The sequence below is a fragment of the Homo sapiens genome, chromosome 2, assembly GCF_000001405.40.
Source record: "Homo sapiens chromosome 2, GRCh38.p14 Primary Assembly".
NCBI lineage: Eukaryota > Metazoa > Chordata > Mammalia > Primates > Hominidae > Homo > Homo sapiens.
Genome location: NC_000002.12, coordinates 31996717 through 32011473, shown reverse-complemented (window position 1 = coordinate 32011473; position 14757 = coordinate 31996717). Strand labels below are relative to the sequence as shown.

Below are 14757 nucleotides of genomic sequence, written 5' to 3'. Positions count from 1 at the left end.
AGTGTCCCCATTTTACAGCTGAGGATAACGAGGCTAGTTATATCAAACACCTTAGTTAGGGAGATATGACATACACCTACATAAATACAACATGAAACAAGATAAATGGTTACAGTGTCAAAGCCACCATTAGGTGGTAAGAGTGACCCTGTGAAGCAAAAACTAGTATTTGCATGACCACAGGCACACTTTACCACGCGCCTGCTTCTACAGATGAACTTCCCGGCGTGCCACCCTAGGAATGAGACCTTGGGGGTGCAAATCGATGAGAGATGCCTGTATATGATGGATACCCGCGGGACTGTCCTCGTGGAAAGCCGCATCCGCGAGCCCTAGGTGCTCTCCATTTGAGGAAGTTGGCTGGGGGAGGGGGCTTGCCTTGCGGCTGCGTCCTGCTCCCCGCGCCCTGCCCCCACCTCCCAGCCTCTGCTGCCGCTAAACCCCGGAGAGCGGAGCGTGCACGTTGAGATTCCTCGGCGGGTAGGCAGCGGTGCTGGGCATGCTCAGTGGGCAGGACCCGTTAGAGTGGCGAGTAAGGAAGCGTTGGCTCTTCTCCGGGTCTGCCTTCCCCGGTTCAGGCCCCGGCCCTGGGCTTTTGTGTGCGCGTAGCTGCAGCCGCCACTGCCTCCTCGCGGGGCTGCCCGACCCCAGATGCCGTCAGGCCTGTCCGGTTTCCGCCGTTAACCTCGCCGCGCGGCCGGGAGGAGGAGCGGGGCGGGGCCGGCGGCGGGCGGCCGGGCTGGAGGGCCCTGCCGGGGGTGGGGGTGGGTGCGGGGAGCCCCGCGGGGGGTGGGGGGCGGGGGCGGGCGCGGAGTCACGGGGGTGGGGTCACTCGCGGTGGCTCGGGGAGGCCAGCTGGGAGGGGAGGGGGCCGTGGGGGCGGCTCGGCGGAACCAGCCCCGGCTGGGCAGCAGCGGGGACGCCGGGGGCCGGGGCCAGGGCTTTCCGGGCTTCGGTGAGGCCGCCGTGGGCCCCATCTTCCGGCGGTCGCCGGAGTTTGTGGTGATTGTTGCTGCCGCCGCCACCGCCCCGGCTGCCATCTCCTCCTCCTGGGCCGCCGCCTCCTCCTCTTCCTCCTCCTCCTGGGCCGGGCTGATCCCCTCCCCGCTGCCGCCTCCTCCTGGGCTGGGCCCGCGGTGTCTCGTCCCCTCGCGGAGCCGCTCCTGCCGCCGCCGCCGCCGCCTCCTCATTCATCCTCGTGCACCATAGGCGGCACAGGCACCAAGATGTCCAACCGAGTGGTCTGCCGAGAAGCCAGTCACGCCGGGAGCTGGTACACAGCCTCAGGTAGGGCCCCAGGCCGCCGGCCCGCCCGCCGCCGTCGCCGCCTGGCCCCACGCCCGGCCGGCCGAGGTCGGCGGCCCGGCCCCGCGGCGGCGGCGGGCGGGGAAGAGGGCGCGGACGGGCCGCCGGGCGCGGACCGCGTGGGGAGGGAGCGAGCCGAGGCCGGCCTCGCCGCCTCCCCCACCCGGGCGGCGGGCATCCCGCGCCGGCAGCCCGGGGCCGGCCGGCCTCACGCTCTCCGGAGTTGGGCGAGAGGGAGAGTTGCCGCCTCGGCAGCCTGCGCCCTCCCTCAGGACCAGGCTCGAGGAAGGAACGTGCTCCCGGACCCCAGCCGACTTGTCGCCGCCTCTGGCTTGCAGGAAGCGTGCGGCCGGCCGCTGCCACCCCCGGGAAGGACGGTGTGCCCGGCGCCGAGCCCCGCTTCTCCACGCCGCAGGGCAGCGACCCTCCGCCCTCTTGCCGAGCCAGGGACCCTTTCCTTTCCTCTCCCGTCTTCCCTGCCCTCCCCGCTGGCGGTCCGGGGAGTGCCCTCGCCCAGAGGGAGTTCTCTCGGTCTGCCCCCGAGCCCCCGCGCCCGCAGCCGGAGAGGAAGTCTTCTCGCCCCGTGCCTCTGGTGCTGGAGAAGGAGGCAGCGTTTCCCCGCACCTTTAAGGGGCTCCGCTGTCTTGCAGGGAGTGAAGGGTAGCACTTTTTTACGTTACCAGACTACAGACGAGGTCTCTGCATGGGGAGATCTGTCAGAGGAGGGCCTTTCAGGGATTTGTCACTTTGTATGTTGGGGCTGGGGTGGAAGTACTGCTAAGCTAGGGGCTTGGGGGTGGGGGGGCTCCCAGCTCTTCTGTCAGTGTTTGCATTGTTACTGTCATTCACGAAAGGGGCAGCTGGATATGGCATCAGCACTTTTCCCGAGCAGTCGCCCCAGTCACTGGTCGCCCTACACCAGGCAGGTGCTGGAACTACCTAACGAATTAAGTTTAAGCTTTGAGCGAGTTGAGTTTTCTGTCTCCACTGTCTAAAAGCATTTTAGACTTCTTTATGTGAAAGTGTAGGGACTTTCCCTTTAATAAAGTGCTTGTTAGAATGCCTGTTTTCTGGGATTATTTTCAGGAGTCACATTTCTGGTATGTTAACAAAGACAGTTCTACTGTGATTCCTCATAGTCTTCAGTCATTTGGTATTGGCTTGTCAATAACTAGACCTAACTTCTCGAGGTGAATCGGATCATGTTTCCTTTTGCAAAGAATTGGCTTGGAGAGTGACATGGCCTGTGAGAAAGCAAAGATTTGGAAGAAAATTCATTTCTCTGAGGTTGCTAAACTAGCTCATTAAATACATGTACCTTACTGAAATACATGACTCACTGAAGATTTTCTGTGTTAGGGAGACACAAAAGAATTGTGAGGATTGGATTTGCAGCTATAGCTAACAGGTAGCTATAGTTTTGCATTAAGCAAATATGACATTTTATGGTTAAAGTGGCTTCCATTCATGGTCCTAAAGTACTTCATAAACATTTAATCTTCCTCAGAGCCTGAGAATGCCAGTTAAATTATTCTTGTTCAGCTTATGGGGAAACATGTAGAGAAGTGGTTTTTTTTTTCCTCTCTAGACGGAGTCTTGCTCTGTCGCCCAGGCTGGAGTGCAATGGCTCGATCTTGACTCATTGCAACCTCCGCCTCCTGGGTTCAAGCGATTCTCCTGCTTCAGCCTCCTGAGTAGCTGAGATTACAGGCGCGCGCCACCACGCCCAGCTAATTTTTTGTATTTTTAGTAGAGACAGGTTTCACCATGTTGGCCATGCTGGTCTCTAACTCCCGACTTCGTGATCCTCCCGCCTGGGCCTCCCAAAGTCCTGGGATTACCGGCGTGAGCCACTGTGCCAGGCCAGAAGTTCAATGTTTTAAACTTTCGTTGTAGTTTGCATTGGAATGTGGGCAAGTGATTCTGGAGGAATTTCTATAGATTCTTGAACATTCTTTGGATAATCTTATATGACATAGCTTACACTTGGATTTGGAAAGACTTCTTTGGTATTCTAAGATGAATTCGTTAATCCAGCTCAAAACATTCTGTGATTATTGTTATTTATCAACAGTGAACTAAAGAGGACTATTCTCTGAAAAATTCTAAGTATATTCTTATTTCCCTAAATTCTGAGTGAAATCAATAATGCCATTTTTGGTAATGTGCATTGTCACAGAGAACCTTAAAATTAAGGCCAGATATGTGACAATTTTTGGGGGAGTCAGTGTGGGACTTTTTAAACTTGAGTAATAATTGAGGGTAGATTTAAAGCAATTCAATTGTAAAAGCTTATTTTGTATTTTAAAAATAAATGAAGTGCAACTACAGATAAGTAAACTTCGACTGGGTTTAGTAACACCTGTCTTTAATATTTGTCAGTGTACCTACATTGATAACATTGACCTTTGGAAAAATTGGACTTGTATTGTGTTATTTCTCTAGCATATTAGTCCTAAAAAAGTGTGAGTAATAGGAGATGGAGAGGTGTTTGTGGATTGTCATTCTGTGGTTCCTACAGCATTCAAGTTGCGTCCGTAGAATTAATGTGTTTAATTACCGACATAAATAAGGGTGAAAACACATTTGCTTTAGTTATATAGCTATTTCAGAAAAAAAGTGTGTGTACATATATAAATATTACATATATACACACACATATATCTTCTTTTTGTTTATCCCTTGTTATATGCTAGATCCATTTATAGAGAGTAACAAATTTTTTCTTGCCCTCAAGGAATTTTCAGTTTATTTGAAGTAAGTAAGAACTTTTAGGGCAGCAAATAAATATCAAGTAAGTTGAGATGTGCTTTTAGGACTACTGAGGAGGGTAGAATCATTTTGGGGTAGGATTTGAATTATGCTTTGAAGGAAGAGTATTTGAACAGGTTTGGAGCAGGGAGGAAGGAACATTGGATTGGGAAACCCCACACAGATACAGAGGCAGGTAAATGTAAATAGTTCAATTTAATAAGAATGGAAGGTACACAGGGGCATAGTTCATGAGCCTGGAGTAGTAGGCTGGTCCTAGAGTACAGATGCCTATGAATGCTAGGCATCATTGGGACTGGACTTACTCAGTTGAGAGTGAGGACCAATGGAGGTTTCTTAGTAGGGGACTAATATGATGCAAATAGCATTTTAGGAAATTTAATCTCATAGGATGATTCATTCTCACTTCTTTTTTTTTTTTTTTTTTTTTTTGAGATGGAATCTTGCTGTGTTGCCCAGGGTGGAGTGCAATGGCACGATCTTGGCTCACTGCAGCCTCCACCTCCTGGGTTCAAGAGATCCCTCTGCCTCAGCCTCCTGAGTAGCTGAGACTGCAGGCCCCCGCCACCATGCCTGGCTAATTTTTGTATTTTTAGTAGAGATGGGGTTTCACCATATTGGCCAGGCTGGTCTTGAACTCCTGACCTCGTGATCTGCCTGCCTCGGCCTCCCAAAGTGCTGGGATTACAGGCGTGAGCCACCACACCCAGCCCATTCTCACTTCTTTATGTGTGTGCAGCAGGTATCAGCAAACTAACTGTGGCCCATACTGCAAATGTAGCTGCAGCCCTTTTTTTTTTTTTTTGGTAAGGTCCAGTAGCTAAGAATGGTTGTTAATATTTAATGGGTTGTTTAAAAAACAAACAAAAACATGAAATGCTGTAGAGACTGTATTTGACACACAAAGTCTGAAATATTTACTCTTTGGCTCTTCATAGAAAAAATTTGCCAAACCCTAGCCAGTGTAGGTTAGTGGTTGTCAAAGTTTGATCTCTGGACCAGCAACATAATCTAAATGTAGTCTGTTTTCTCCAGATTTGCTACCGCTTTCATCCCATTATTTTAGGCCCTTATCATCTTCTGTCAGAATAATTACAACTGTCTCCGAATTGGACTTCCTTCTGCCAGTCCTATCCCTTTAAATCCATCTTCTGTACTGCTGCCTGAATAGTATGTTGGCCAAATCATTCCTTTGATCATTTCCTCACTGATCTATCTTGCCTCTTGGTTAAGGTCTAAGTCCCCTCATAACTTGCCATCTTCCTATCTCTATGACCGCTTTCCCCTACCCCAACCCAGTTTTGGTTTTACCCTCCTTAAGTGACATCTAATAGTTGTTCATTGTTTCTTTAAATACATCATGCTGTTTCTTATCACTGTGCTCTTGCACAAACTGGTCCCTCTGTTGAAATATTCTTTGTTGGGATAATTCCTACTCCTCTTTTGAAGACTCAAGTGTTAACACCTCCAAGAAACCTACCCTGGTGCTTTGCCTCCCCAATGTGGTTTTTGATGTTACCTGTATATGAGGTAAGCCAGGTACCATGTCTTACTCATTTTTTTGTACCCTAAGTACTCAGCATAGGTTTTGTACATAGTAGATGCTCAATAAGTATTTAACTGAATGTTAAAGTGCTTGGCATATAGTAGGCGTATAATTAGCAAGTGGGAAGTATTGGTAGCATATATGGACAGGGATACAAATGTTTACATTCTGAAGAGCGGTGGGGCTGATATGAGACTGCTGCCATTCAAGTCTCTGATCATGGTATAGATGAAGCATCTTGGTGGTAGGAAGGGATTACCAATCCTGTTCTGCCAGTTAGGGATCCAGGGAGTGTAAGATTTTTAAAGTATGACATACTTTAAACAAGTTCAGCTAGATGAATTAAGTACATTCACATAATGAGTATTCAACTCAAGAAACACATCAGTACTGGAATTCCCACCAAATGCCCCTCTCCCCATTCCATGTTCCTTGTATTTTAAGAACAGAAAAATTTTGTCTGTTTTCCAATTCTTTATCAGTGGAATTATATAGTATGTATTCTTTGAGCTTCTTTTTTTTTTTTTTTTTTGGTGACAGAGTCTCTCTGTCACCCAGGCTAGAGTGCCGTGGCTCGATCATAGCTCACTGCAGCCTCAACTTCCTGGGCTCAAGCAGTCTTCCTCCTTCAGCCTCCTTAAGTGTTGGGATTATAGGTGTGAGCCACTGCACCTGGCTCCTTTGAGCTTTTGCTCGGTGTTACATTTGTAAGATTAATACATGTTGTATTGTACTTTGTTCATTCTGTTGCGTGACAATTCCAGTTTATTCTGTTGATGGACATGTGGGTTTTTTAGTTTTGCTGCTGTGAACACTTTTATACCTTTTTTTGGTCAATGTATATGTGATTTTTGATGGATATATGCCTTAGGGTGGAGTGATTAGATCATGGTCTATGCAAATGGTAAGTTTTTTTTTTTTTTTGAAACGGGGTCTAACTGTGTTGCCCAGGCTGGAGTGCAGTGGTGCGATCTCAGCTCACTGCAACCTCTGCCTCCCGGGTTCAAGCAGTTCTCCTGCCTCAGCATCCCGAGTAGCTGGGATTACAGGTATGCACCACCACACCCGGATAATTTTTGTATTTTTAGTAGAGATGGGGTTTCACCATGTTGTCCAGGTTGGTCTTGAACTCCTGACCTCAGGTGATTTGTGCCCCTCCCTCAGCCTCCCAAAGTACTGGGATTACAGGTGTGAGCCACTGTGCCCGGCCCCATGTGATAAGTTTTAGTAGATTCTGCTAAAGTTTTGCAAATTGGTTTTACAAATTTACACTCCCACCAGCAGTGTGTAAGAGCTCCAGTTGCTTCTCATCTTTGCTAACACTTGGTATTGTCAGTCTTTTTATTTTTAGTTATTCTGGAAGGGTGTGTAGTGATATTGTAGTGTAGTTTTAATTCATATTTTCCTGATACTTAATGAAGTTGAGCATTTTTTCTTGTTAGGGACCCCATGTTTATTGGCCATTGGATTTCTGCTTTTGTGAAGTGTCTGTTAAATCTTTTGCCCTTTTTTTCTACTGGGCTGTTTATTTTTTTCATATTGACTTCTAGTTCTTATTCTGGCTACATTTCTTTGTTAGGTACATATTGCATCTATCTTCTGCCCTTTTAGAATCTTGGTGTGTCAGTGAATTAAAGCTTTTATTTATTTATTTACTTATTTATTTATTTGAGACAGGGTCTTGCTCTGTTGCCCAAGTTGGATGGCAATGGTGTGATCACAACTCACTGCAGCCTCTAACTCTTGGGCTCAAGCGATCCCCCTGCCTCAGCTTCCTGAGTAGGATTATAGGCATGTACTATCATGCCTGGCTAAGTTTTAAAATTTTTTGTAGAGATGGTGTCTCACTCTTGTTGAGGCTGGTCTCAAATTCCTGGTCTCAAGCTATTCTCCTGTCTCAGCTTCCTGAGTAGCTAACTACAGATGTGCGCCATCATCCTTGGCTAATTGTTAAAATTTTTTGTAGAGATGGTGTCTCACTTTGTTGCCCAGGCTGGTCTCAAACTCCTGGTCTCAAGCAGTCCTCCTGCCTTGGCCTCCCAAAGTGCTGGGATTACAGGCATAAGCTATCATGCCTGGCCAAATTCTTAGTTTTAAAGAAGTCCAGTTTATCAGTTGGTTAGTGCTTTTGTTGTTTCCCGTTTATGAAATCTCTACCTACCTGAATGTCATGAAGTTACCCTCCTGTGCTTTTTTCTAAGAGCTTTCTCTTTTTATCTTTCATGTTTAGATCTATACTTCATTTGGTTGATTTGAGCATATGTATGCTGTGTTTGTGAAGTAGCAGGACATTACATTAAATTTTTTTTGTTGAAGTAAACATATATTGAAAAAGTATACAAATCAAGTATATACCTTGGTGGATATGCACAGATTTCATATACCCTATGTAACAAGTCCCTGTGTTAAGAAATAGAACATTTCTTTGCTTTTTTTCCCTTGGCAAATAGTGGTTATATTATTGATGGTACATCTTATAATCACGGCTGTCATGGAATTGAGGAAATATCCAAAGTCTGATAATTTCAAAGAACATTCTTGAAGTATTTCTATGATATATATCTTAAATGCAGTTTTAGTTTTTGTTTTCATTAATTCTACTATGTTTCTAAACAATTGATAAAATTATATCAGGGTTCTATAGCTGGAAAACTACAGCTTAATTTTTTTGGCATGTACTGTAAGTTTAGGAGTATAAAATGTTTGCTGGAAGTTTGATTGGATTAAAAAAAGATAGAGTGTCAAAATAATACATCTTGGTGTGTGGGAAATTGAAAAACTGAATAATAAAAATATTTCTCTTTGGAAAGACTATATAATAAAATTTAGTTTCGAAGTGAATTATTTTATGTTACTAAATACTGTTTTCTGTATGCTGATTTTTCTTTGCATCCCATCCTATTATTTTACCTTGCAGAAAGGCAAGAAGGAAAGAACATATTTAACAGGCAAACTGTTGATATGATTGCCTGATTATTTCTAGTTTTCAGTTTCCTTGTCCTTTCACATGCAGTTTCCAAGTCAAAATCATCTCCTTCACTGTCTCCATGGTTCGTGTCAACTGCTTTTGAGTTTTTGTCCATTTGAAAGAAGATGAAAATGACAAAAACTTTCATTAAGTATATTTCATAGGTATATTACGTATGTATGTATATAATCCCTAATCTTCAAAAGGACCCTCCAAGGTAGGTATTATCTCCATTTATGGATGTGGAAACAATGACCTAAGTTGAGTAACTTGTTTAAGGTATAACAAGTAAGTTGAAGAACCAGTCTGACTCTAAAATTAGAGTTTGGTATTAGGGGCAGGAAGGTATGGGAAAATATGCTGCCCGAAACACTGAACTTACTTTATCCTACTTCATTTTCCCCAAACTGCAGTATGAATATTTAACTCATATATGTATATTATGTATATGTGTGTATTATTTAACTCATACATGTATATTATATATATATGTATATTGTGGCTTATATAAAGGATTTCCTCATACATATGTATGTATATATGTATATGTATATATGTATATATGTGTATGTATATATGTATATGTATATGTATATATGTACATGTATATATGTGTATGTATATATACACGTATATATGTATATGTATATATACACATATACGTATATACGTATATACATGTGTGTGTGTGTGTGTATATATATATATATATATTTTTTTTTTTTTTTTTTTTTTTTTGAGACAGAGTCTCGCTGTGTTGCCCAGGCTGGAGGGCACTGGCGAGATCTCAGCTCACTGCAAGCTCTGCCTCCTGGTTCAAGCGATTCCCCTGCCTCAGCCTCCCAAGTAGCTGGGTCTACAGGCATGTGCCACCACACTCGGCTAATTTTTTGTATTTTAGTAGAGACGGGGTTTCACCATGTTGGTCAGGATGGTCTTGATCTCCTGACCTTGTGATCCACCCTCCTTGGCCTCCCAAGGCGCTGGGATTGCAGGTGTGAGCCACCACGCCTGGCCATATATTTTTAATTGTTACAATAATCTTATGATTAGGTATAGGGTTGGTAATGCAGGCAAGTCTTTATTTCTACCCTCACCTTGCCATTTTATAGATGAGAAACGAAGACTTGGAGGAGGCTACGTCATCTGAGTCATATTACTTGTAAATAGTAGAGTTGGGTTTTGAACCCAGGACTTCTGGCTAAAGCTTACTGTTAAGAAGAAAAACTAAGACTTGGAGGAGGCTTGTATGAGTCGTAACTGGTAAACTGCAGAGCTAAGATTTGAACCCAGGACTTCTGGCTGAAGCCTACTGTTCTTTCCATTTATAGCTATGCCAGAGTGAGAAGTTGAACTATTTGGAATCAGTAAACATCTTTTTAATTGTCAAGTAATATCTTACATTAAAAAATAATAAACATAACTAAAAACGAATGCTTAGTATAATATAAATATAATACATATATAATTACAAAATAATTGGTATATTTTAATTAGGCTAGTCCTAACATTTGAATTGGACGTAATAAAATTTATGGCACTTCTGCCGGGTGCGATGGCTCAAGCCTGTAATCCCAGCACTTTGGGAGGCCGAGGCGGGCGGATCACGAGGTCAGGAGATCGAGACCATCCTGGCTAACACGGTGAAACCCCGTCTCTACTAAAAATACAAAAAAATTAGCCGGCCGTGATGGCGGGCTCCTGTAGTCCCAGCTACGCGGGAGGCTGAGGCAGGAGAATGGCATGAACCCGGGAGGCGGCGCTTGCAGTGAGCCGAGATTGCGCCACTGCACTCCCGCCTGGGTGAGAGAGCGAGACTCCTGTCTCAAAAAAAAAAAAAAAAAAAAAAATCAAAATTTATGGCACTTCTGAAGAGGCTTTATTTAATATTCAGCAATTCAATATTGAACGAATCAATTTCTGCTATGTGAAAGGCACTGCTGATGGGACTAGGTGTATAGCAGGGGATGAAACAGACTAAAATTCCTGGAGTTTACATTTTAATTGCGGGGACAGATGATGGATAAAGTAAGGAAAATTGGGTGCATGTTCTCAGGACCTCTTGAGGGCTATGTCATGGAAAAAAAAAAAATATGTGGTATGCTAGATAGAGGAAAGTGCTATGGAGAGTAACAAAGCACAGCTGGTGCATAGGGAATGTTTAAAGGCTCAGGGGTCCAGGCTGCAATATTAAATAGCATTGAAAGGGAAGACTTCGGCCAGGTGCGGTGGCTCACGCTTGTAATCCCTGCACTTTGGGAGGCCGAGGAGGGCGGATCACTTGAGGTCAGGAGTTTGAGACCAGCCTGGCCAACATGATGAAACCCTGTCTTTACTAAAAATACAAAAAATTGGCCGGGCACGGTGGCTCACGCCTGTAATCCCAGCACTTTGGGAGGCCGAGGCGGGCGGATCACGAGGTCAGGAGATCGAGACCATCCTGGCTAACACGGTGAAACCCCGTCTCTACTAAAAATACAAAAAATTAGCTGGGCGTGGTGGCAGGTTCCTGTAGTCCCAGCTACTTGGGAGGCTGCGGCGAGAAGAGTGGAGTGAACCCAGGAGGCGGAGCTTGCAGTGAGCTGAGATCGCACCACTGCACTCCAGTCTGGGCAACAAGAGTGAAACTCCGTCTCAAAAAAAAAAAAATAAGTAAAAAGGAAGACTTCACTGAGATGTCATTTGAGTAAAGACTTGAGCTGGGTGCTGTGGCTCAGGTCTGTGATCCCAGCACTTTGGGAGGCTGAGATGGGAGGATTGCTTGAACCCAGGAGTTGGAGACCAGCCTGGACAAAAAAGTGAGACCATCATCTCTACAAAAAATAAAAAAATTAGCTGGATGTAGTGATGTGCTGATGTGTGCTTGTGGTCCCAGCTACACAGGAGGCTGAGGCAGGAGGATTGCCTGAGTCCAGGAGGCTGCAGTGAACCATGTTTCACCACTACGCTCCAGCCTGGGCGACAGATTGAGGATTTGTCCAAAAAAAAAAAAAAAAAAAATGCCTGATGCAGGTGAAAGAACAAGCCTTGTATTGTACATTATCTGGGGATAGATGATTTTAGGCAGAGGGTACAGCAAATTCAAAGGTTCTGAGGCTAGAGCAGGCCTGGAATATTTGAGGAACACCCAGTAAGCAAGGTCATTGCAGCTGAAATGAAGTGAACTGGAACAGAGTAGTATCATATGAGTTAAGAGGTGGCTGGAGACTTTTTGAGACAGGGTCTTGCTCTGTTGCCCAGGCTAGAGTGCAGTGGTGCAATCATAGCTCATTGAAACCTTAACCTCCCGTGCTCAAGCGATCTTGCCACCTCAATCTCCTGAGTAGCTGGGACTACAGGCAGGCACCAGCGTGCCTGGCAAATTTTTGTATTTTTGGTAGAGATGGGGGGGCGGGTCTCACTATATTGCTCAGGCTGGTCTTAAACTTGTGGACTGAAGCAATCTTCCTATCTCAGCCTCCCAGAGTGCTGGGATTACAGGTATGAGCCACTGTGCCTAGTCTAGAAAGGACTTTTACTTGAGTCAGATGGTCATTGGAAGGTTTTGGGCAGTTGATGGCATGATCTAATGTAGATTTAATATAATTACTTGGCTGCTGTGATGAGAGTAGTTGAAGGTTGGGGAGTGGTGAAAGCAGTGGCAAGGGCAGAACCAGGGAGACCAGTTAGGAGGAAAGGAGTAATCCAACTGTGAGATGATAGTGGCTTGAAATGAGTAGTAACAGTGGAGATGGTGAGAAGTGATTGGTTGTTGAATATATTTTGAAGATAGAGCTGAGAGGATTTGCTGACATACTTGAAGTATGGAGTGCGAAAGAAAGAAAGGAGTCATGGTTATCTCTTAAGGTTTATCCCTGAGCATTAGCAGTGATGGAGTTGCTATTATACTGAGATAGGGAAGATCTAAGAGGAACAAGTTTGGCGGGGGAAGGTTAGGAGCTCAATTTTGTTATTTTAAGTTTGAGATGTTCACTGTACAGTCAAGTGTATGTATGAGTCTGGAGTTTAGGGAAGTGGTCTAGACTGGAGATTTAAAAGTGGAGATTAGCATCATATAGATGATTTTTTCTTTTTTTTTTTTTTGAGACGGAGTCTCACATTGTCTCCTGGGCTGGAGTGCAATGGCATGATCTCTACTCACTGCAATGTCCGCCTCCTGGGTTCAAGTGATTCTCCTGTCTCAGCCTCCCGAGTAGCTGGGATTACAGGCGCCCACCACCATGCCCAGCTGAATTTTTGTATTTTTGGTAGAGATGGGGTTTCTCTATGTTGGCCAGGTTGGTCTCGAACTCCTGACCTCATGATCTGCCCACCTTGTCCTCCCAAAGTGCTGGGATTATAGGCGTGAGCCACTGTGCCCAGCCATAAATGATTTTTAAAGCCAGGTATCTGGATGAAATTACCATGGGAATGAGAATAGTTAGACAAAAGAGGTTCAGTGACCAAGCCTTAGAACATTCCAACATGAAGAGGTTGGGGGGATGAGGGAGATCCTATAAGGAATACAGATTAAGCATCTCATGAGGAGGAGAATGAGATGTCCTGGGAACCAAGTAAAGAAAATACTTCAGGCCAGGCTTGGTGGCTCATGCCTGTAATCCCAGCACTTTGGGAGGCCGAGGTGGGAGGACTGCTTGAGCTCAGGAGTTCAAGACCAGCAACTTAGTGAGACCCCCGTCTCTACAAAAAATAACAAAAATTAGCCAGGTGTGGTTGGCACATGCCTATCTATAGTCCCATATACTGTGGAGGCTGAAGTGGGAGGATTGCTTGTGCCTGGGAGGTTGAGGCTGCAGTGAGCTGTGATTATGCCACTGCACTACTTCAGCTTGAGTGACCGAGTGAGATTCTGTCTCAAAAAAAAGCTTTAAGTTGAAGACATCTCAGCATAATTTATGTAGATTTGCCTGGGCATTTTTCTGTGAAACACATATGTGTAAGTCTGGTCTAAGCCATTCTCGTCTTAGCCATTTCCTGTGTTACTGGGAGAGCTTCCTACTGGTTGCCCAGTTTCCATTCTGTTCTTTACACAGAGGCAAAGAAATCTTTTTGAAAATGTAGATTCGATAATATCCTTTTCTTAATCTCCCCTCCCCCAATTACATAACCACATTCCAACTTCTTACCACAACTTACAAGGTCTTACATACTATGACCTCTGCTTAACTTTCTCATTTTATCTACCATTTTTCCTTTCACCACATTATTCCAGCCATTCTGGGCTCCTTGCTGTTCCCCAAGTATGTCAAGCTTATTCCTGCTTTAGGACTTTTTCAGATACTTCATAAGATTGACTAATTCTGACTGATGGTCAAGGAAAGGAAATTTGTATTGATTGCCTGATTTTGTTAGTCACAGGAGGAGAGAAAGGAAGAGATGTTGAAAATGGTTCAACATCTGTAAGGAATACAGATTAAGCATTAAGTTTGAGACCAGCCTGGCCAACATGGTGAAACCCCATCTCTACTAAAAATATAAAAATTAGCTGGGTGTGGTGGTTTGTTTCTCTGTATATAGTGTGTCTTTCTGAATATAGTGCGTATATTCTCTGAGTATTTGTTTCTCTGAATATAGTGTGTCTTTTCTTCAGGTTGCTTGACGATTTCTTATTACATTTTACTGCTGTTATCATGTACCTTTGAATAGTTTTGAGTTTATCCTGTTTGGGGCTTACTATGATTCTTGGATGTCTGAGTTATAGTTTTCAGAAAATTTGGAAGTTTTTTGTCTTTATTATTACCTCAAGTATTTTTTTCATTGAGGTCCCTGACCTCAATGTGTTCTGGGAGACAGTAGTCTCTGGAGATGCCTTTTGCAGAAAGGGTTTATGGTCAAATAAGTTTAGGAACTATTACATCTGTTTTTCTCCCTTGAGCCCTGACAGCTCACAGTAGACTTGTGGTGCATTACAAGATCTGTCTTGGCGAGTGTTCTATGTTCAGTCTTGGTGAGTGTTCCATGTTCTTTTGAAAGTAATATGCGTTCTCTGCTGGGCATAGTAGTTCATGCCTGTAATCCTAGCAATTCGGGAGTCTGAGGCAGGATGATTGCTTGAGCCCAGGAGTTCGAGGCTGCATTGAGCTATGATTACACGACCACACTCCAGCATGGGTGACAGAGCACGACCTTGACTCCTAAAGAGTATGTATGTTTTCTGTAGTTATGG

At 44.7% G+C, this 14757-nt stretch overlaps 1 protein-coding gene across 21 annotated transcripts in view, besides 6 other annotated features; it reads left to right on the top strand.

Annotated features, from left to right (window-relative positions):
- Positions 372-531: a silencer, noted in NCBI's record as "fragment chr2:32236012-32236171 (GRCh37/hg19 assembly coordinates)". NCBI's record gives its function as "represses an EF-1alpha promoter that drives an FKBP-Casp9 reporter gene in an ReSE screen in HepG2 liver carcinoma cells {active_cell/tissue: HepG2}" and the evidence as "EXISTENCE:reporter gene assay evidence [ECO:0000049][PMID:32094911]".
- The window catches only part of MEMO1 (mediator of cell motility 1), a 143186-nt gene continuing 128894 nt past the window's right edge, over positions 466-14757 (top strand). For 9 of the 21 annotated variants that reach the window (NR_126032.3, NR_163997.2, NR_163995.2 and 6 more), the window contains exon 1: positions 466-1287. Coding sequence is in view for 10 of the 21 variants with exons in the window: in NM_001371920.2 (NP_001358849.1) it covers positions 1227-1287 (61 nt within the window). In the remaining 11 variants the exon portion in view is untranslated. The remainder of the gene's footprint in view (positions 1288-14757) is intronic. The other 12 variants (NR_163996.2, NR_163998.2, XM_047444635.1 and 9 more) reach the window with 6 other exon arrangements.
- Positions 517-806: a silencer, noted in NCBI's record as "silent region_11336". NCBI's record gives its function as "represses an Ori minimal core promoter by ATAC-STARR-seq in GM12878 lymphoblastoid cells {active_cell/tissue: GM12878}" and the evidence as "EXISTENCE:reporter gene assay evidence [ECO:0000049][PMID:35858748]".
- Positions 847-1146: a silencer, noted in NCBI's record as "silent region_11335". NCBI's record gives its function as "represses an Ori minimal core promoter by ATAC-STARR-seq in GM12878 lymphoblastoid cells {active_cell/tissue: GM12878}" and the evidence as "EXISTENCE:reporter gene assay evidence [ECO:0000049][PMID:35858748]".
- Positions 1347-1586: a silencer, noted in NCBI's record as "silent region_11334". NCBI's record gives its function as "represses an Ori minimal core promoter by ATAC-STARR-seq in GM12878 lymphoblastoid cells {active_cell/tissue: GM12878}" and the evidence as "EXISTENCE:reporter gene assay evidence [ECO:0000049][PMID:35858748]".
- Positions 1617-1666: a silencer, noted in NCBI's record as "silent region_11333". NCBI's record gives its function as "represses an Ori minimal core promoter by ATAC-STARR-seq in GM12878 lymphoblastoid cells {active_cell/tissue: GM12878}" and the evidence as "EXISTENCE:reporter gene assay evidence [ECO:0000049][PMID:35858748]".
- Positions 10350-10850: an enhancer, noted in NCBI's record as "H3K4me1 hESC enhancer chr2:32225693-32226193 (GRCh37/hg19 assembly coordinates)". NCBI's record gives its function as "activates a minimal SCP1, AML or CMV promoter by ChIP-STARR-seq in primed H9 embryonic stem cells {active_cell/tissue: H9 hESC(primed)}" and the evidence as "EXISTENCE:reporter gene assay evidence [ECO:0000049][PMID:30033119]".